The 23,936-nt window shown below is 38.1% G+C and overlaps 1 long non-coding RNA gene across 1 annotated transcript, besides 1 other annotated feature; it reads left to right on the forward strand.

Moving 5' to 3' along the window:
• The first annotated feature begins 540 nt into the window (after nucleotides 1–540).
• Nucleotides 541–13,931, forward strand: LOC124906271 (uncharacterized). Its single transcript, XR_007096023.1, has 3 exons — nucleotides 541–618; nucleotides 12,423–12,595; nucleotides 13,870–13,931. It is a non-coding gene; the product is annotated as an uncharacterized LOC124906271 (long non-coding RNA).
• Nucleotides 794–1,295: an enhancer, noted in NCBI's record as "H3K4me1 hESC enhancer chr3:117077285-117077786 (GRCh37/hg19 assembly coordinates)". NCBI's record gives its function as "activates a minimal SCP1, AML or CMV promoter by ChIP-STARR-seq in primed H9 embryonic stem cells {active_cell/tissue: H9 hESC(primed)}" and the evidence as "EXISTENCE:reporter gene assay evidence [ECO:0000049][PMID:30033119]".
• Nucleotides 13,932–23,936: the final 10,005 nt, after the last annotated feature.

A 23,936-nucleotide genomic window follows, 5' to 3' on the forward strand; every position in this document is an offset into this window, starting at 1 on the left:
TAAAATAACATTTTATATGTATTTTTATTTTTACTGTTTATTTTCACATACCTTTTTAATAGAGGTTTGGTAATAGCTCCTTTTTTTGCACTGATAGAGAAATAAGTTCAACTTCAGTATGATCCACTTAGTTTCTCAAAACATGATATTAGAAGCATAAATCCAATGTATTTTAATAAGAAAAAAACAACATAAATGTGAACATATTACACACATTTGTCTGAAATCTATTGAGGTACAGTAAAAAGTGTAATTCCAGAGTTAAACACACAGAGTTGTTTTAAATTACTTTCATTTAAAACACTTACTGCATGCACAACATGATTTAACTACAGATAATAGTACTAAAATGATTTCTCTAAGGTATCTTCAGAGATAGAGATTGTGTAAAGATCACAAATCTAGGAAAGTGTCTCTACTTTACCAAAACAGCATTGGTCATGATATCAGGTCATCCACTGGCAATTGTGACATGGGCATTTTGAAAGCAGAGCTTGGCATTCAGCAGTTACCAGCTTGCTAGTCAGAGGGCATGTCATACAGTCTAAGAGAGCTGCATTCATTTCTGGTCAGGCCACAGATGCAGGTTACCAAGCAAATGTTTCATTGTCCCCTAGGGTAAGCAAACTGAACCTCCCAGGAAGATACGTCTCTATTATTCTGAGAAGGCTATTATTGAAATTAGTTAAGAAAACCACTTATCTCCCTATTATTTAAAAATCTGTCAATGTAAAGATGGATGGCATTACTCAGAATCAGAAAATTTGAATTCCAACACTTGATTATGAAACTTGGTAGCTGTGGGGGGCGGGGCAAAGATGGCTGACTAGAAGCAGCTGCATTCAGAGGCGCCAATGGGAAAAAAACATAAAAAGCCTGTGAATCCTCACAGGCAACCAAGGTATCCAGGTTCTCTCATCAAAATTGTCTAGAAGGTTGATGTGACCCACGAAGAGAAGGAAGAGCGGTGTTGTGCCGCAGCCCACCTGAGAGCAGGCAAGGGGAGCTGCCTCCCCCCAGCCAAGGGAGGCGGTGAGTGAGCACACTACCAGGGAAACTGTGCTTTTTCCTTGGAACTGGGCAACCCATGGATCGGAAGATCCCACTTGCAAACCCACGCCACCGGGTCCTAGAATCCCGAACCCTGAATGCAGATTCTTACAGCCTCTCAGCTGGAGTCTGCTTAAGCCTATCCAACTTCCCCGCAGGGAGGGGTGACCAGCATGGGCTGCCTGACACTGCCCTGTGTCTAAGCTGTTTGAGCTCCTTGGGGGAGGGGCAGCATCCAGCACTGGGACTCACAACTACCTAACACCACCCACGTTAAGCTCCCTGGGTGGGGGAAGAGCGGCACCCATTTCTATAGCTCCAGGTTGCGCTTTTCCCCTGCTGGAGCCAGAGGGGCTGGATGGCTTGGTCTCAAGAGTTGTCTCCACAGCCCAACACACTGGCTGCGGCAGTCTGTGGCCAGAGTGCCTCTTCAGGCCCAACCCCGACCCATCCTTCTTCAGTGGGCAGGGCTTCCCTGTAGGATCTCCAATAACTCCAGCCAGGGGCTCATGGACAGAATTTGGATCTGCCAGGGCTGAGCCCCTAGTGGGAGGGGTGGCCACAGAATTTGTGGACCAGCAGACTTAGCCTGTCCTCCTGGTAGTTCTGAGGAATCTGGGCAGCCCAGATGAGTGAAGTTCTCCCCAGCAAAGAGACAAAGTGCTTCATTAAATGGGTCCTTCTCCCCGGGCCACCCAACTGGGTGAGACCGTCCAACAGAGGTTGTCAGACACCCCATGCAGAAGCAATCCTACTGACATCAGGCTGCTGCCCTACAAGATCAGAGGTCCCAGAAGAAGGAGCAGGCACCCATACTTTGCTGCTTTCCATCCTCCTTGAATGACATCTCCAGGGCGCGAATCAGATGGATAGGGCCTGAAGCGAATCCACAGCAAACTGCAGCAGCCCCACAGAAGAGGGACCGTACTATTGAAAGAAAAACGAACAAGCAGAAATTGACAGTAACAGCATCAACAACAACAACAACAAGAACAAAAAGGCCTCCACAAAAAACCCATCCAAGGGTCAGCAGCCTCAAAGACCGAAACTAGACAAACTCACAAAGATGAGAAAGAATCAACAACAAAAAAATGCTGAAAACCCAAAAGGCCAGAGTGCCTCTTCTTCTCCAAGTGATAGCAACATCTCTTCATCAAGGGTGCAGAACTGGATGGAGGATCAGATGGATGAATTGACAGAAGTAGGCTTCAGAAGATGGGTAATAAAAAACTCTGCTGAGCTAAAGGAGCATGTTCTAACCCAATGCAAAGAAGATAAGAACCTTGATAAAAGTTTAGAGGAATTACTAACTAGAATGACCAATTCAGAGAGGAACACACGTGACCTAATGGAGCTGAAAAATACAGCACAAGAACTTTGTGAAGTATACACAAGTATCAACAGCCAAATCGAGTAAGCAGAAGAAAGGATATTAGAGTTTGAAGACCACCTTACTGAAATAAGATATGCAGAAAAGCATAGAGAAAAAAAAAATAATGAAAAGGAATGAACAAAGCCTCCATGAAATATGGGACTTCATAAAAAGACCGAACCTATGATTAATTGGAGTACCAGAAGGAGATGGGGAGAATGGAAACAAGCTGGAAAACACACTTCAGGATATTATCCAGGAGAACTTCCCCAACCTAGTAAGACAGGCCAACATGCAAATTCAAGAAATGCAGAGAACACTATTAAGATACGCCACAAGAAGATCAACTCCTAAACACATAATAATCAGATTCTGCAAGGTCAAAATGAAAGAAAAACTATTAAGGGCAGCCAGTGAGAAAGGCCAGGTCACCTGAAAAGGGAAGCCCATCAGACTAACAGCAGACCTCTCAGCAGGAACTCTATAAGCCAGAAGAGACTGGGGGCCAATATTCAACATTCTTAAAGAAAAGAATCTTTGACCCAGAATTTCATATCCAGCCAAACTAAGCTTCATAAGTAAAGGAGAAATAAAATTCTTTCCAGACAAGCAAATGCTGAGGGATTTTATTACCACTAGGCCTGCCCTGCAAGAGCTCCTCAAAGAAGAACTAAATATAAAAAGGAAAAACCAGTACTAGCCACTGCAAAAACACACCAAAATATAAAGACCAATGACACTATGAAGAAAGTGCATCAACTACTGTGCAAAATAACCAAATAGCATCATGATGACAGGATCAGATTTACACATAACAATACTAACCTTAAATGTAAATGCACCAAACACCCCTGTTAAAAGACACAGACTGGCAAATTGGATAAGGAGTCAAGACCTATCAGTGTGCTGTATTCAGGAGACCCATCTTACGTGCAAAGACACACACAGGCTCAAAATAAAGAAATGGAGGAAAATTTACCAAGAGAATGGAAAGCCAAAAAGGCAGGGGCTGCAATCCAGTCTCAGACAAAACAGACTTTAAACCAACAAGTATCAAAAAAGACAAAGAAGGGTATTACATAATGGTAAAGGGAACAATTCAACAAGAAGAGCTAACTATTCTAAATATATATGCACCTGATACAGGAGCACCGAGATTCATAAAACAAGTTCTCAGAGACCTACAAAGAGACTTAGTCTCCTACACAATAATAGTGGGAGACTTTAACACTTCGTTGTTAGTATTAGACATATCAACGAGACAGAAAATTAACAACAATATTCAGGTCTTGAACTCAGCTCTGGATCAAGTGGACTTAGTAGACATCTACAGAACTCTCTACCCCAGATCAACAGAATATACATTATTCTCCGTCCCACATGGCACTTATTCTAAAATCAACCACATAATTGGAAGTAAAACACTCCCCAGCAAATGCAAAAGAACTGAAATCATAACAAACAGTCTCTCAGACCACACTGCAATCAAATTAGAACTCAGGATAAAGAAGCTCACTCAAAACCACACAATTTCATGGAAATTGAACAACCTATTCCTGAATGACTCCTGGGTAAATAATGAAGTTAAAACAGAAATCAAGAAGTTCTTTGAAACAAATGAGAACAAAGAGACAATGTGCCAGAATTTCTGGGACATAGCTAAAGCAGTGTTTAGAGGGAAATTTGTAGCACTAAATGCCCACATCAGAAAGCTTGAAAGATCTCAAATCAACATCCTAATATCACAATTAAAAGAGCAAGAGAGGCAAGAACAAACTAATCCAAAAGACAGCAGAAGACAAGAAATAACTAAGATCAGAGAAGAAATGAAGGAGATAGAGATACGAAAAACCCTCCAAAAAATCAATGAATCCAGAAGCTGGCTTTTTGAAAAAAATAACAAAATAGATCGCTAGCTAGATGAATAAAGAAGATGATGAAAAGAATCAGATAGACACAATAAAAAATGATAAAGGGGATGTCACCAATGACCCCACAGAAATACAAACTACCATTAGAGAATACTATAAACAGCTCTACACATATAAACGGTAAAATCTAGAAGAAATGGATAAATTCCTGGATGCATACACCCTACCAAGACTAAACCAGGAAGAAGTCGAATCCTTGAATAGACCAATAATAAGCTCTGAAATTGAGGCAGTAATTAATAGCCTACCAACCAAAAAAAGCCCAGGACCAGACAAATTCACAGCTGAATTCTACCAGAAATACAATGAGGAGCTGGTACCATTCCTTCTGAAACTATTCCAAACAATTGAAAAGGAAGGACTCCTCCCTAACTCAAATAAAAAAAAAAAAGAGAGAGAAAACTTTAGGCCAATATCCCTGATGAACATCGATGCAAAAATCCTGAATAAAATACTGGCAAAGCGAATCCAGCAGCACCTCAACAAAGTTACCCATCACGATCAAGTCAGCTTCATCCCTGGGATGCAAGTTTGGTTCAACATATGCAAATCAATAAGCATAATCCATCACATAAACAGAGTCAAAGACAAAAACCACGTCATTATATCAATAGATGCAGAAAAGGCCTTTGAATAAATTCAACATCCCTTCACATTTAAAAACTCTCAATAAACTAGGTATTGATGGAACATATCTCAAAATAACAAGAGCTATTTATTACAAACCCACAGCCAATATCATTTTGAATGGTCAAAAGCTGGAAGCATTCCCTCTGAAAACCAGTACGAGACAAGGATGCCCTCTCTCATCATTCCTATTCAACATAGTATTGGAAGTTCTGGCCAGGGCAATCAGACAAGAGAAAGAAATAATGGGTATTCAAATAGAAAGAGAGGAAGTCAAGTTGTCTCTGTTTGCAGATGATATGATTTTATATTTAGATAACCCCATCATCTCATCCCAGAAACTTCTTGAATTGATAAGCAGCTTCAGCAAAGTCTCAGGATACAAAATCAATATGCAAAAAATCACGAGCATGCATTTACACCAACAACAGAGAGCCAAATCATGATTGAACTCCCATTCACAATTGCTACAAAGAGAATAAAATACCTAGGAATACAGCTAGCGAGCAATGTGAAGGACCTCTTCAAGAAGGACTATGAAACACTGCTCAAGGAAATAATAGAGGACACAAACAAATGGAAAAACATTCCATCCTCATGGATAGCAAGAATCAATATCATGAAAATGGCCATACTGCCCAAAGTAATTTATAGATTCAATGCTATTCCCATCAAACTACCATTGACATTCTTCACAGAATTAGAAAAAAAAACTACTTTAAATTGCATATGGAATCAAAGAAGACCCCATGTAGCCAAGACAATCCTAAGCAAAAAGAACAAAGCTGGAGGCATCATGTTACCTGACCTCAAACTATACTACAAGGCTACAGTAACCAAAACAGCATGGTACTGGTACCAAAACAGACATATAGACCAATAGAGCAGAACAGAGACCTCAGAAATAACACCACACATTTACATCCATCTGATCTTCAACAAACCTGACAAAAACAAGCAATGGGGAAAGGATCTCCTATTCAGTAAATGGTACCAAGAAAACTGGCTAGCCGTATGCAGAAAACTGAAACTGGAACACTTCCTTACACCTTATACAAAAATTAACTCAAGATGGATTAAAGACTTAATTGTAAAACCCAAAGCCATAAAAACCCTAGAAGAAAACCTAGGCAATACCATTCAGGACATAGGCAAAGGCAAAGACTTTATGACCAAAACACCAAAAGCAATTGCAACAAAAGCCAAAATTGACAAATGGGATCTAATTAAGCTAAAGAGCTTCTGCACAGCAAAGGAAACTAGCATCAGAGTGAACAGACAACTTACAGAATGGGAGAAAATTTTTGCAATCTACCCATCTGACAAAGGTCTACTATCCAGAATTTACAAAAAAACTTAAACATATTTACAAGAAAAAAAAAAAACAACCACATCAAAAAGTGAACAAAGGATAGAACAGACACTTTTCAAAAGAAGACACTTTTCAAAAGAAGACATTTACGCAGCCAACAAACATATGAAGAAAAGCTCAATGTCACTGATCATCAGAGAAATGCAAATCAAAACCACAGTGAGATACCTTCTCACACCAGTCAGAATGGTGATTATTAAAAAGTCAGGAAACAACAGATGTTGGCAAGGCTGTGGAGAAATAGGAACACTTTTACACTGTTGGTGGGAATGTAAATTAGTTCAACCATTGTGGAAGACAGTATGACAATTCCTCAAGGATCTAGAACCAGAAATACCATTTAACCCAGCAATCTCATTACTGGGTATATACCCAAAGGGTTATAAATCATTCTACTATAAAGACACATGCACACTTATGTTTATTGAAGCACTACTTACAATAGCTAAGATATGGAACCAACCCAAATGCCCATCAATGATAGGCTGGATAAAGAAAATGTGGTACATATACACGAAGGAATACTATGCAGCCATAAAAAAGAATTAGATCGTGTCTTTTTCAGGGACATGGATGAAGATGGAAGCCATCATCCTCAGCAAACTAATACAGGAACAGAAAACCAAACACCACATGTTCTCACTCATAAGTGAGAGTTGGACATTGAGAACACATGGACACAGAGCAGGAACAACACATACTAGGGCCTAATGGAGGTTGGAGGGTGAAGGGAGGGAACTTAGAGGATGAGTCAATAGGTGCAGCAAACCACCATGGCACACGTATACCTATGTAACAAACCTGTGCATTCTGCACGTTTCCTGTTTTGTTTTGTTTTGTTTTTCTTTAGAAGAAATAAAGAAAAAAAAAACTTGGTAGCTGTATCTCCTTGACACATGTCTAGGCATTGCTGCTTCATCCTTAAGGTGATAATAATACCCTGAACACCTAAAATCGTAAGGCTAAAGTAGATAAAGGATTGAGGTTTAGCAGTTTCATGTTTCAAACTTTTCCTGGAAAAAGTACACATTTATCTGACACTAATGAAATATGATTTTGGTTCTTCCCTACGCTACACCCCATGAATTATATATATCAAACCACTTCTGTAAGTTTAATTAATGAATTGCATTATTAATTTATTTTTTTGGTTTGAATGCTTGGTCCTCTCAAAGAAAAGCTGATTTGAACCCATTGTACTTTGACTCTTAAGTGTCAAAAATAATATTCGTTTGAGTGTTTTCATTTTGACTGTGAGATGAGAGCCAATATAAGTATCTCTTTCCTCCACCTCAGTCCCACCAATCTTCATTTTTTAAGTGAGGTGCTGCTATAGTAAGTTTAGAACCTCACCAATATTTGCTAATAATTTTAAGATCTTCAGGGCATTTTAAATACTAATAGTTTGGGGCTAGATGTTTAGTATTTATGTCCACAGGGTACAAAGTCTTTTTTAGCTCATTAAATTTTGCTTTAATTAATCCTGCCACGGCTTTATAAAGAAGGTGCACTCTGCTTCAGGTTAAAGCATGCTGCCTAGGATTTATACGCCCTTTCCTTAGGCCATGGCATTTGTACCTATTATCCATTTCAGGCCCCATTTTAACATAGCTAGAAAAATGAAGGGAGAAAGGAAAAGTTTAGTTGCTTAGTTACATTTTATCAAAATAATACTTTATTTAGTTAGTTAGTTAGTTTGTTTTTTTGAAACAGAGTTTCACTCTTGTTGCCCAGGGTGGAGTGCAATGGCGCGATTTTGGCTCACCGCAGCCTCCGCCTCCCGGGTTCAAGCAATTCTCCTGCCTCAGCCTCCCGAGTAGCTGGGATTACAGGCATGTGCCACCATGCCCTGCTAATTTTGTATCGTTTTTAGTAGAGACAGAGTTTCTCCATGTTGGTCAGGCTGGTCTCAAACTTCTGACCTCAGGTGATCTGCCTACCTCGGCCTCCCAAAGTGCTGGGATTACAGGTGTGAGCCACCGCGCCCAGCCTAAAAATAATACTTTAAAACACCATCACTTCCAGCAATATCCTCACTACCACCAAGTCAAATAAAGAGACAAAAATTTGTATCCAATCAAAATTGACTCTCCAAATAATAGGCAGTTGATTCAATCTCTAATAGTCTATATTAAGGAACAATAATAACAATTAACTTTTTAATAGATTTCACCATCTCAAAGGCTCACAGCAAGTCTCAAACATTATCTCAATTCTTATATTGATCCTATGAAATAGGTAACGTACACTATGCCCATTTTAAAGATGAAAAAAAATTGTGGTTCAGAGGAATTAAGTGACTTGCCTATGGTTTATACAAAGACTAAATAAAGAGATACAATATAAATCTAAATATCCCAATTTCAACTTTAAATGTCTACTACCTAAACCGCCCCCCACCCCACAGAAATGGCTGGAAGTAGATTAATGGAAGTTACTTGACCTTCATTTGATTAAAAAGAACATAAAATACTTTGATAGAAAGGCCTAACACTATTCCCAAACCCAATGTTCCATGGTCTTCTAAAAGAACTTTCTCAAGTCACTAGCAGGGAATCAATACTTATTTTCTAAGGTCTCCAGGCATTCCCAAGACTAGGTTCTTACATGCTTTCCTGATTGTTGAAAGGCTATGCTGTCTTTTGCCTCTTCTGCAGTACTTTCTTACATAACATCCTCTACTTTACTACATGTATGGTCAGGTTTTGATGCTTGTTCTCCTACAGTGAGTGCATGGAGATCTTGAGTAATGCAGTCTATACCACAGGTGGAAAACTACATGTATAGTACAATGATTTACTTTGTCACTACTCAATGTAATAGTGTGGTTTTTAATGGACATCTCTATTTTCACTTTCTGTGAAACTAAATGTATTTTTGTCAGATTTCTCAAACCAAACTCAAGGAAGTAAGCTTTTCCTGTCTGTCTTCCATCTCTCCTTATCAGCTATAATCAAACATCCACTATATACAACTCTGGCTTGTTTATTGATCTTATTCAAGTCATTACAATCTCTTGTAAAGAGCATCTTTCATGTGCAAGGGCAGATGACCAAGAGAGACATGCACTAGACATGTTAAGAGTACCCAGAAAGAGAAGATGGGGTGAAAGACTGTTTGTAGAATAAAAGTGTGCATACAGAGATAAAAACTAGAGATAGTCATCATAGTTAAAGGAAAGAAAAAAAATCTATGACTGTAGCAAATGATATTTGTGTAAGAAAACAATTATAAAGAAATGTGCATCACTAAAGGAATTTAATACTTTGAAATGAAACTGTTGTCTAGGAAATAAAGCTAGGTTTTAACAGTAACAAATGGCAAATAGTATAAAATAGAATGAGTTATACATTAGAAAAATGTTTCCTGATATGCAATCTTTTAAAAAGACACCAGTGGAATCATTTTCTATGGAAAAAATTTAAAAGAAGGCAGCATTTCATGAACTCTGTCTTGAGTTTTTGGAAATATCTCTTACTAATTATGACCTCTATGGTCTATATGGCAAATGCCTCTCACCTGGTAGGGTCAAAACACTTTGAGGGTTCCCTAATCTTGAAAATGATTGGAAATCCTCACATTTTAGGCCTGGAACACTCAGCATTGATGCATGCTTCTGCCAGGCAATGGCAGCAGAGATACTAATGAAAGCAGCAGCTTAGTACGGTGCTCTGATTAGATCCTCAGGTTGGGGAAAGGGCAGGAAAGATGAGAAGAGGAAAGACTTTCACTGAAACTCTGATGAGAGATTCTAGAAGTAACACATTTTAATTAAGCTTCCTCCAAATCAGCAGGGAGTGAAAATTCAGCTAGTATTTTATTTTCCAATTTATTTCTTCAGGGAACATACCTAAAAACTGTTTTGAGGGTGGGCTATTATGTAACTGAAGGACACAATTTCATTATGAACAGGCAGAAACTTGTGAAATATCAATTTTTAGTATACATATTTTGGGAGCACCTACCAAGGACCTTACAAAATTTTACGAAACATTATCTAACTCAACCATGAGTCACCTGGTATTTCAAGTCACTGTTTCTCAGGGAAAGCTAAGTATTTTCTTAAGCTTATAAAAACATAATTCTTCTCAGTTTCTTCTTGTAGACATCTAGTCAGCTTCTATCACCCTGTACACACACGCACACACACACACACACGTGCACACACACACACACACACACACACACACTGCAGAGTTAGTTCTTTATGTTCCAGGCTCCTCATGTGTAAAATGTAGATAACAATAACTGCATGATTTCAGGATGAGTGCTGAGAGGTAATGTATGTGTTGAGGGCTCCACAGAAGTAGGATGGACCTCATACCCAAAATTTGGTCCAAATGTTGAGACTGATGATGCTACACATACCCCAATGGAGTACGAAAAGGTTTATTATTCACATAAGGAGGCCCTTGGAAGGAGTAGCATAGGCTACCAAGTAGGTCCAAAAAAATGGCTAGAGATCAGGGGAGGGCCCCTGGCTTGGGGTGTTATGTTGGTTAGGGAGTGAGGCTGAGGAACAGATTGTCCAGCATAGACCAGGGCTTGCATCGTTTGAACCCCCTGCAGGTACCAAAGGAGGGAGCCCCTGGAATTTCTTATTAGCTTGCCCAGATATGGGGCAGAAGGGTAAAGGGAAGTGGTGGGGCTTGAAAGTTGTCAGCAGTTGAACATAAAAATGAACTCAGACTCTTTACTAACCTATACAAAGAATTTAGCACAGTGTACTTGGTAGATGTGCAATAAATGGTAGCTTTTTTATTATTGCTGTTAACACAATTATTATACCTATGTTTGTGCCTCCCACTGCTTGGCTGGCATGATGAAAACAGAATTTTAGAACATGGATCTAAAAGGTAATCAGTATGAATAGAACAGAATTTGAGTAATTGCTTATGTGGTCCAAATATTATACCACAGTAGCAGCTTAAAGTGTTATGTTTAACATCATAGGTAAAGTGTACTGGACTTGGATTCACAAAACCCAGGCTTACATCTCAGCTTTATTCCTTAAGAACTACATGATTCTCAACAGTGGCTTACATGCCTTCAAACTTATCTGTTCAATACAGGTAATACCACCAATTCCACTGGGTTGTTATGAACAATAACTGGAAGATAATAAACAGACTAGCATATAGCAATTGCCCAGTACTTCAAAGATGCTCGGGGAACAACAATTGAATATGATTCTGAATATAACCCATTAAGTCACTTTAATTCTCTGAGACTGATTCCCCTTATTTACAATACAAGGATAATAGTTATCTTACTTATTATACAGGATGTGATAAGAATCAAAATCAGCAGCAGACCATGGATCTGATGGCACTTTCTAAAGGGAAATGTAAAGCATTTGTAAGGAAATGTAAATAATGTAAGACATTATTATTAAATACCTCACTTATCACATAAGCATTGCAGAGGAAACATTGCGGACGTGCTAGAATCTTGACACCACTCAAGCACATATGGTCCCCTCATGGTCTCAACTTCAGGGAAGAATTCCTAAATCAGGTCCACTTTTCATCGTATTTGCTAATCACATTACATGTTGAACATTCTCTAAAGCCCTGACATTTTCAAACAGGGCCAAAAAAGATTGATATGCCTGAGGAACCCAGATATTTACTTCCTCTCAGCCAAGAATCCCCATCTGTTGGTATCAGTTGACATTTGAGATAACTTGCCCCCAGTAAACATGCATTTTAAATCCTGACTTCAGAAAACAGACTCAGAAGATTCATCACTCAAGTTTTCAACAAGAGAAATAATTGAATAAGAATGAAGAAGAAAGAATTGTATTGGAAAGCAGGGAAGCAAAAATATAAGTGGACAAAAGTTAGAGAAGTGCTTTTGGGAAATAAATAAGAATGGTGAACAAGGATGAGAAACATCTACCACACTGATTAGATTCACTCCAAGAAGTCAAGATTATTAGTGAAACCTCTTAGGGGAGACAAAACACAGCCATTTTCTCTTTCCTTCTTCTTTTCCCTTGTCTTCATGCCTCCCCAGCACAAAAACTGTATAACAGAGATATTCATGCCAAGTATGGATTGCTTTCTAGAGCCAGCACTCTAACTTTTGTCATAAGAAAATGATGCACACAGAAGCAACCTATATGCTGTGCTCTGTTATCTACTGATGCCTGTGTTCTCCTCAACACTGTGGCAGTCAACTATCTGGAGGGATATGGAGCTTAGTGGGAAGCTGCCACATCTTCACTTTTGCTTCAATAAGGTAAGGGGATCATGCTGTATATCTTCACACCTCTCTTCTGCCTTGTTATGCCAAATGGTATATTCAGCCAGGCATCTGGTAGTCACATGTTTACCGCACCAAAGAAAATTTTAGGCGCTTACAGAAAATAACTGCTCAGAATACATACAGCTTTATTCAATTGTAAGATAAAGATGTATCTATTTATATTCATTCTTTCATAATATTTGCGAAACCCGTAAGTATGGCACATGATATAGAAACCTAGTAGTAAAACTCTTGTCACTACACAATGTCCTTGGCTTTAACCCACCAGTTTATATTTTTATTCAAGGATAAACCATCTTCTGGTATTATTATTATTTTGAGACAGAGTCTTGTTCTGTTGCCCAGGCTGGAGGGCAGTGGCATGATGTCAGCTCACTGCAATCTCTCCCTTTCGGGTTAAAGCGATTCTCATGTCTCAGCCTCCCGAGTAGCTAGGATGCGCAACCAAGTCCAGCTAATTTTTGTATTTTTAGTAGAGACGGTGTTTCGCCATGTTGGCCAGGCTGGTCTTGAACTCCTGGCCTCAAGGGATCGCCCACCTCAGCCTCCCAAAGTGCTGAGATTACAGGCATGAGTCACTGTGCCTGGCCTATTCAGGTATTTTATATTCACTGTTTTTCTTCTCATAAAACTTGGTTAATGCTGAAGATCTCCTTAATTAGTTGGATAAATTACACCTTCCCACATGGAAAAATTCCTTGGGGGATGCATCAACATTTTTCTTCTGTACTTCCTCAAAGCACAAGTTATGGTTTCAGTGTATACAAGGTTTTCAAGAAATATTGCCATCAGATTGATTAAATGACTGACTGCATAGCTTTTTATTTTTCTTAACAGTTAAATAGCATTTATATTTCAATAAGGGGTTTTTACTCTGTAAATCACAGATTCCAAATCACAATTTGCAATAGCAGAGCTCACCTGCCAAAACAACTTCAAATTAAATAGCAACCTTTGTTACAGTATTTTGCAGCCATATCTGGGAAATGCAATTGACACTGGCATGGAGTAGAAATAGTTTCCACAAGGCAAGAAAAGGCATATTGACTGGCAGGAGCATGCTCTGTTGCCTTGACACACAAGCAAGAATTCGGCCCCAATCTGTTGGAGTCTCAAGGCTCACAAACCTGCCAGATTGCCATCTTTGTGCTGAATGCAAAATAATCACAGTGGCTAAAAATGATAACTTGTGGATGGCTGGGATGGGAAGCAACATATTTAATCAATCTCTCCTTTTCACTCTGCAGGTTCTAACCATGAAAACTGCACTCCAACTAGAGAGAATAATTTCCATTCTCAAACTCTGGAGGTAAGAATATGTCATTCCACGATCCCTGAGTAATCTTACTTACAGCTTCCCTAGAAAATGCACATTTAGATTTAGCTTGTTGATGAGATTCAAATAATAGGCTTCATTGACTCCCAAGAGACTATGAAGTATCAATTTTTTAGCTCTTTGATTTCTTAAACCCTTTCCAGTCTGGTCTCCTCCTACAGACCAACCTATTCCTGGACTAGTTCTCAGAGTTTAGGAATGTTGAAGGAACAGTTGTTATTTTTGTAACAAAATTTAATCTACCTGTGCAATTATTAGTTCTCAACACAGCTATTGTATACCTGTTACCATTTTTCTGATGTCATCTATATAGAAAGCACCAAGTATTTTCATGGTAGATCTTTCAGAATATATCTTCTAAAGAGTTGATTCTCTTTTTCTTTTCTTTTCTTTTTTTCTTTTTTTCTTTTTTTTTTGAGACAGAGTCTCGTTCTGTCACCCAGGCTAGAGTGCAGTGGCGTGATTTCGGCTCACTGCAATCTCTGCCTCCCGGGCTCGAGGAATTCTCATGCCTCAGCCTCCCTGGTAGCTGGGATTACAGGCATGCACCACCATGCCTGGCAAATTTTTTTGTATTTTCAGTAGAGATGTGGGTTCCTCCATGTTGGCCAGGCTGGTCTCGAACTTCTGGCATCAAGTGATCCTCCAGCCTTAGTCTCCCAAAGTGCTGGGATTACAGGTGTGAGCCACTGCTCCCAGCCAAAAGTTGATTTTTTGTAGGCAATTCTGAACTTTAAAATTTTATTTTCTGAGTCCTATTTCAAATATTTATGTTGTAATTTTTTTATTTATCAACATATATCCCTATTGTCTCTCATGCTTTTATTTCTTTAAATACCATAAATGAAAATAATATCTTTAAAAAGCATAATAGTTTTTGATTTTGAATAAGGATGAATAGACTTCATCATGACATTTCAGATATTTAGAACTGAAAGGAATATCAAGATGTTTAGGTAGATACTGATAATGACAACTGAAAGTAGTAGGTGAGTCACACTAGTGATGTTTAAACTGGTTGCCACAGTTTTCCCAAATCCTGGTAGATTGCTGGTGTTTCTGAGTTGTGGTCACAACTCCAAGGTGGTAGTTCTTGCCTACTTCTCTAAGAGCTTCACTACAGAGAGAAAAAAAAATTTCTCCAGAACTGGAAACCTCAAGTATTTAGGATAAAGAAAAGTATCTTTTCCTTTAATATGGAGTCTTGAGCTGAATGCAGCTTGCATCGTATGTTGACATTTTTAAGTTGACGATGCAAATATCTCTCTTGGTAGCCTGGTTGTCATTATAATTACTTTTTATGTCAATGAGGCTACAGGCTTAAAAGCCTTTTGTTTCTAGAAGATACACAGGACAATTGATCTGCACATTTTTCATAGCAATCCTTTTATAAAGTGGAGGAGGCATTTTCTAGTCTTCTTTTCCTCAGGGACACTATTCTAGTTTTTACTATTCTTTATGATCTCTTTTCTCTACTCCTATTTTGTTTGGTTTTTATTTTATTTTTTATTTTTATAGAGTTGGGGATACAAGCGCAGTTTTTTTACGTGGAGATATTGTATAGCGGTGAAATCTGAGCTTTTAGTGTATTCATTGCGCAAATAATATATAGTACCCATTAAGTAATCTCTCATTCCTCACCACCCTCTACCTTCTGAGTATCCAATGTCTATTATCCCACTCTCTGTATCTATGTGTACATAGTATTTAGCTCCCATTTATAAGTGAGAACATGTGGTATTTGACTGTTTCTGAGTTATTTCTCTTACGCTAAAAACCTCTAATTCCATCCATGTTGCTAGGAAATGCATCATTTCATTCTTTTTCATGGCTGTTTACTCCTATTTTAAATCATGCTCTTCAGTATGCATTCTATTTTTTTATACATCCTTTTGTTTTTAATAATACTGGAGATGAAATTTAGATACATGTTACTGAATAGTATAGCTTCATCTGAATGCTTTACATTCCATTATATACTTCGGTGGATATAAATGATAATAGTCCTAGAGGTGAGAAGTTGCGGTTGCTGTTGTTGTTATGTCAGTTTAGTTAGTTTCTGACTTCTCTCTGAAAGCTTCCATCAGTTAGCCAATCCATATCAGTACTGATTTAGTCATGTAGGCATCAGTTATTATTTTATCTTATTTGTAAGGATTGTTTTCACAAAATGATAAGGATTATTACCTGTATCCTAAAAATAAATCTTTCAGTAATCAATATATGAAAAAGAAAATTATCATTCCAAGAAAATTTACATTTTCTTTTCTCCATAAATGCAAGTAACTTTTTGCATTTTTGGCAGGAAGTGAAAATTTCATAACAAATGCAGCAAAATTAAGCATTGAGCAGAGAAAGGTGTCAGAACATTGCACGATATTCAGCTGAGAGTTACAAAGTATCATCAGCCAGATAAGGAAGAGAGAGAGGTGTTGTAATACTAAATTCTCCAGTTTTGAAATTTTCCATAAAGAATCGATGGGTCCAGAGTCTGGGTTAAAAACAAACAATATGAAATGAGGCTTGTTTCTAGAACTCTGGCCATTGTGACCCAGGGCCTGATTGTCACCATGCCACTGTACTCAACAATAGTTTTCAGGTTTTTAGATACTTCTGCAGACATATACAAATCAGTGAAAAGAAGAAAGGGATATTGTACAGATAAAACCACGTATTTGTATACATATTAGTCAATGCATAGATACTGAGCATCTTCTATGTACAGGGGTTATACCATGATGGAACACATGCATGATTTGCACTCATTGCAGTTTGTACACTTGAAGTCATACTCCGTTTGTATGCCTGCCTCCCCATTAGGGTGTATTCTCTTTTAGGACCAAAAACAAATTATTTCATTCTGTTTCTCCAGTCCCAACTAACATACTAGATGACTGATATACTAGATGACTGACTGCCAATTAAATGAATGGCTTAAAAATAAACAAATGCATCATGAATGCATGTGTAGCCTATGATTTTGGGTGGAGTTTTCCACCTCTTTGTGCTCTGTGTCCTCCTTTGTGATATGTCAAGCAAGATGGATTAAGAAGTATGCATGTTGGCCGGGCATGGTGGCTCACGCCTATAATCACAGCACTTTGGGGGGCCGAGGCAGGCAGATCACTTGAGACCAGGAGTTTGAGACCTGCCTGGCCAACATGGTGAAACCCCATCTCTACTAAAAATGGAATAATTAGCCAGGCGTGGTGGTACATGCCTGTAATCCCAGCTACTTGGGAGGCTGAAGCAGGAGAATCACTTGAATCTGGGAGGCGGAGGTTGCAGTGAGCTGAGATCGTGCCACTGCACTCCAGCCTGGGCAACAGAGTGAGACTCTGTCTCAAAAAAAAAAGAAAGAAAGAAAGAAAGAAAGTATGCATGTTTGTGTGCTCAATTGTGTCATGTGCTTCAGGATTCAACTTGGACATTGCATTTCCTTTAGAAGTTTGCGATGAAATAAAAAATAAAGTTAAGATGGTCTTCAAAACAGTTACGATCTGAACAGAAATCTACTTTATGTCTGAATATTTTTTCACTTTGTGCTTACGGCTTCCATCTTAGCTTTTTCACCTATGCTGCAACACTATTAAATGAGGTCATTTTACATGAGTAACTTTGATATCTGTTTGTTGATTCACAGCTTCTCTAACTTGGAGGCAGGAAAAACAAGCTAATGACAAAGATATTTGTATACCAACTTTCACCTTAGAAATTATAGTTTCCAAATACTCACAAGTAAAAATACCACAAACTTTAATGACTTAATTAAGCCAGTGGTAAAACACAATATATCTAGGAGGGTGTTAGTTACAATAGCAGGGAAATTATATGGTTTTCAGCAAGGTGGACTAGAAGAATCAGGCTTTGGAACCAAAAACTAGACTCAAAATCTGATTGTTCCCTTTAATGAGGCTTCGCTGTAGCTTACTCTTTCTGCAAGTTAATTTTCTCATGTAAAATGGTGATAATATGACATATTTTGAGAGAGAATTCAGACTTTGCAAATCTTCCAACACCATGCTAGTTTCTTTTCTCTCACCTTTGCTAATATGAGAAAGACAGACTGATAAAACCGTGTGGGGTCAACACCCACTAAAATAATAAATGCTCCCATATGTCACTGAGTCATAAAAATCATAAACTGAGCTGTTCTTCCTGATGCATCTTTAACTTTAGGGAGTATTATTTACTTTTACCATTTTTGAGTAAGCAATTAAAGTATGTATTTTACGTAATTGAAGGAATCAGTATCTCCATTGATAGTAAAATATTACCAGGCCAATTGTTATTTGTATATTTTTTAAAAACCTTTTAAAAGAATAGTGCATTTGCTTGCAAAGCAAAAGATGCTGTGACTTACCAACAAGATCTGGCTGCCTTTTCTGTGTTACTTATTATTGTGGCAAAAGAGGTTGTAAGTGTGACAAGAAAATATAACATAAGAACATGAATAAACAAATAAGGGCAGTTGTTATGAAAACTGATTCTTCCAGAATGAGGAGTTAAATGAGCTCTCTCCTTAGTACCTTCTTCCTGTTTCCCAATTTTTAGGCTAAAGAAGACACAAACACTTAGGCAGTTACAAGAGTCCTTTAAAATCCTCCATGGTATTTTTAAAAATCTCTACAATTCTCTTGTATTTTGAGTAAAAGCTAAATTGGAGCTGTATTGTTTTATTTCCTGAGTCTTCTTTTTATTGAATTATTTACAGTGGACATGATTGCTGGTGATGATCACAGCCTTAGTCTTCATATTCTAGGGACAAATCTGTCCTAAACTTCTGTCATTGAACTTTCATGGATGGAGCTAACAGTTAATGATTGGTGTATAACAAAAGGCAGTATCCTTCTAGGTAGCTAATGTGGGCCACCAAAGGGTCAAGAAAAAAGTTATAGGCCAGGCATGATGGCTAACACCTGTAATCCCAGCACACTGAGAGGCTGAGGCAGGCAGATCACTTGAGGTCAGGAGTTTGAGACCAGCCTGGCCAACATGGTGAAACCTTGTCTCTACTAAAAAATACAAAACTTAGCTGGGCATGGTAGTGCACGCCTGTAATCCCAGCTACTTGGGAGGCCGAGGCAGGAGAATCACATGAACCCGGGAGGCAGAGGTTGCAGTGAGCCGAGATCGTGCCACTGCACTCTGGCCTGGGTGACAGAACTAGACTCTGTCTCAAAAAAAAAAAAAAAAAAAAAAAAGTTATAGTAGAATAATTAAAGTATTTCTAAACCTAGGTTATAAGATTTAAAAAGAATGGTTTTTAGTTTCTAGTTTCCTGCAGTATCTAAGATGTCTACAAGGCAACATTGGGAACTGGAGTCAAAAAGTTGATGCTTCACAGCTCCTTGGACACTACAGATAGACAGTGAGAAAACAGTCAATTGTTGTCACATCCCAAGAACAGCAGGGGATTCCAGTTAATTTTATGTAGCGACATTGAGCCTCTGGATTTTAAGGACCTTGCTGAACTCTCAACTGGTCTTCTTCCCTATCTGTATCTCATGGTGGCAGCAGCCTCTCTGTATTAATGGGAAAACAGAGACCTGAACTCAGATGTGTTATAAACTGAACTTCTGTTTATTGTTATCAAATATCTTTACAAGCTTTCTACCACTCTGGACAGACGACAGATAGAAGGCAAGCTTGACTTCTTACTGTGCAAATGGAGCCCAACCAACCTAAAGGGTAAGCCACCTAAGAGAGGTTCCTCTTTTGGTCCTACACTAGCTACTAGCACATATCAGGAGGGGATATGCTGCATTAAGAATGCAAATATCACTTTGTCTAAGGGTGTCTTCAGATGATGCCAGTAATTCATAAGTGTTCTCCCACCATCCAGAAAGGGCATCATTCAGAGAGTCCTCATCTCTCTACCATCACTTTCAGGGTCCATCGCTAGTACTCAACTCTCCCTCTTACCTTGCAGGTGGTAAACAAAAGGGAAGACTATTAAATTTATCACCTATATATTTCAGAAATGTTTCTTTTCTCTCAATATCATCACTTTTAGGTTATCTGCTTAACAAAGCTCCTACCCTTCTCAGAGTCTAAGGATCAAATCTTTCTGTGATTCATTTCAAGAAGCTTTTGTCGAAGCACTGTTATATAATGTTATGAATCAAATGGACAATCAATACATATTGGATGATGATGGATAAAGTTTAAGCCACAGAGTAAAGACTGTGTTGTTGAGCTAAAAGAGTTCAGTTTTTATCAAGCACAATAAATAATAATTTTATTTTATGTGCAGATTTCTGATGGTCAGATCATTGTACAGTAGAGCATAATTGAAAGCAAATTCCCTCAGAGGCCACTGACCACTGGTAAATGTTCAAATATATAATACAGTTCAATACGACTGTACTAAACAGGTAATAAAATGTTGGCCTTTGACCTCCCGTGACTACTAGTTTCAGCTACTTCATTACCCCATGAGGCATGTCCTCAGGTATGTGCATCTCTGGGTGGGCAGCTATTCTCTTGCATTTTCCAGCAGTCGTTTGCCATCAGTAGGCCTGTCAGAGTCAATGCTTCAGTTTCATAACTGTAATTGGATTGTCTGACTTCCTATTCAATTGGTACATGTTTCTTCTTATTTCTGTTTCTTTTAAAAAATCAATAAATGGTTTGTGATGCCTCAAATAGAGAGAAATCAGGTTTTACCACATTATGGAATTGACATTTTCAACATTTATTTCTCAAAGAGGACCATTGGGTATGTCAGATTCAACGCATAAGTTTTGGATTAATTGAATTGTTTGGTCCCAGGGATATATAATAACGTGAACACATTTCATGATGGAAACCAAAGAGCTCTATCATGCCCCAAACTTTATGCATATGAGTAGAAACAATTTTTTCTCTTTTTCTTGTCTTTCTTTCCTCCACTCATAAAACCCACCACTCATAATAAAGTTATAGAAAGCATAAATAGCTTTATGTTTAAACTGGAGGCTGATATTGAAACCACTAAAACATTATGGGTGTGAATGGAATGTGCACATATATTTATATGTATATATAAAGTCCAAATTTTATATACATATATGGACTTTATACATAGCTACATATATCTACACATACATATATGACACGAAGAGCTGAATCAGTTAATATATCTCTGCATTTAAGAGTAAATCATATTTGATGCAATTCTGCAAGTACATCTTGGCTCCATAAAACTGTGATAGTGGATGAAGTTGCAAAGGTGAGTAAGACAGAGTATCCACCACCAAAAGTCCTGACGTAGAATGAAAATCTTCCAAAAAGAATTAGTAAGTTCATATCGTTTCGCTTTTGTTTAATAGCTTGGCTCCTATTAGGATCAGGTTTGCACCATTGATCGTGTATTGACTTGAATAAAAATACATTTCAAAATAATGTACAGTATTGACTAAAGATGGGACTACCTGCTTAAAATCAGATTCATTCCACATTTCATTGCTATCTCTAAGTATTCATTCTGCAGGAGGAAGAGATTTTTCCACTGCATAGAGAACATTATCAAATGTTTCCATCTTCCTTTGAAGCATTCACTATTAACTGCTGTTAGAGGAAGGATTCTAGACTGAGTGGGCCATTGGTTTGTTCTGGTAGGACAGTTCCTGAGTTTTAATGGATATATACAGTTTGGAAGAAAAAAGAAAAAACTACCAGAGACAAACTTTAATATTTTGAGTGGCACTTAGCTGATATGGTAGGTAGAATTTACCAATTCCTTTTAAAATTTAATTTCTTGTTAAACGTGAAAGCTTGAAGTTCAGTAATATGAAAATAATAACATTTTTCAGGTCATGAATATTTGCTTTTTAAAATAGTTTACTTTACTCTACTTGCAAGCCAGATTTCCCTATTTTTAAGTGAGTTTATTGTGGGAGTGGGAGGAGTTGAATTAGAACAAGACTCTCTACAGGGTCACAACCTCTTCAGGGCTTCAGTGCAAGGAAGGGATGAACAGATATTGACAGACCAACTGTCTTATAACCTGAGATTCCCACTCGTTTGTTATTCTGTATGGCTATATTTGCTTTCAACCTCAATAGGCTTCATTCATCTGCAAACTTCCTGTGGCCCTTGATCAAAAAGGCTACAAAAAATACCATGTCCTCATGTGCCAAGTAAAAATTTGTGACTATGCAGCTTAAAAGTCGGTCATGGAGAAAATGTTTCTTAACAACGCTTTGAACTATTTAAATTAGAGCTTTATTTTAGAAAATTTACTAGACAGTGGTCTACTTCATTTTATTATACTAATTATCTTTAGTTGCAAGAACAATGGCCATTTTGTGAGTTGTTAGTTCAACCATACGTTGTTATATTTGTGAGACAAAAATAGCCAACTGTGAGCAATTTTATATGGCTTGACCTAATATAAAATTTTGTGTGCTTTGAATGTCTGTGATAAACACAGAGATGTATTCCCATGGAAACCATGCCCCATGCATGGTGAAGCAGCCAATATGGTGGTAAGGATTACACTGGCATGACTGTCTATAGTCCAGGAAAGTATTATAAAGATGTTGCTTGGAGTTCTGTGCAAAAGAAAAGTCCACGTTTAATCAATGTATAGGTATATTAAGAAGGAAATCCTCCTATTTATGATTCACCATGACCAATGTCATAGTAAAGGCTTTGAAAAATTCTGCAGCAAATTACATCATTTAGTCAAATAAATTCCATAGGGTATGCTGTGCTGGGCCATAAAATACCTTTTCTGATCAAATGCCTATCAGCATTTTATAGGAAAGCAATGTTTCATAATTCTCTGTAATTCAATTTGAGAAACCAACACCTGACTGAAAACTTGACACTTGTATGTTCCTGTACCTTCAGGGGTTAATGCAGTGCCTTATCCATATAAGGTTAACCTTACAAACCAAAAAAATGACAGCTTTAGACTCACAGTTTGTAATCTAGCTCTCATATGGTGCATGCTGTTTTAAAGGAAATTATATCTACTCTCCTCATCCAGCAAACTGGCATTTCATAAGATAAGCTATGCACTCTGAGTTTAAATAAATTCAGATATTTTTCTTTGAATACATTTCACAGCCAGGGCATAACATTCTGAACACTGTGACATTATCCTTCCTTAAAACGTGTATGTCTGTTTTCTCATGTTAAACTTCCTTTTTGTTCTATCTGTATCTGTAATAATTGCCTGTGATTTCTGGAATGGGTCTCATGAGGGAGTCCATTTTTCTTCCCTTAGCCTCTCTCTAAGCACCCAATATGGAAGCTGCAGCCCATGGTGCATCCATGAATATTATCGGAGAAGATCAATAAATCTAAGTCCACAGCCAACAGTAATTACTTTCTTTATTCTGGCAGAGATGGTGGCATTATTTAGACACAGTTGTAGAGCAAGTGACAAACAAGGCACCTTTTTGCAGACTCAAATTTCTGGGATACATTTACAACAGTGGTGAAAAATTACAGAGGGATGGCAGGTATATGTGAACAGGGCTGCAACTAATTTGGCCTTGGGAGGTGAGATTGTCAGGCATGTCAAAAGCTAAGCCTCATTCAGAATCCTCCCCACTCCAGCACTTCTCAGATCTGTTTGCACCACCTCTTTTCTCCCTCTCCTCTAGCTTCAAACTTACCCTCTCTATTGGCTTCATCCTCTCGGAATATAAATATACTTGAGAATCTCTTCTCTTGAAAAAGAATCCACCCTCACTTCCACCTTCCTGTTTTCTCTCTCCCTCTCTTTCGTGGAGAAGCTACTTGAATGAATACCCTACATTCCCTTCTCCACTTCCTGACCTCCCATGTGTGACTCCATCCTTCATAGTAGGTAAACATTCTTGAGAAGATTCTCATCTGTTGTGAAGTCTTCCCTTACCCCCCACTCTACTTCTCCCACATCTCGTTTTAGATTTGGATGTTACCCTCACCATGGACTCCTACTGTACCTTGAATGCTTCTCGATTCAGTCTTACCATTCAAGAATGTAATGTTTTTTATTTT

Source organism: Homo sapiens, chromosome 3, assembly GCF_000001405.40.
Source record: "Homo sapiens chromosome 3, GRCh38.p14 Primary Assembly".
In the NCBI taxonomy this organism is placed as follows: Eukaryota; Metazoa; Chordata; class Mammalia; order Primates; family Hominidae; genus Homo; species Homo sapiens.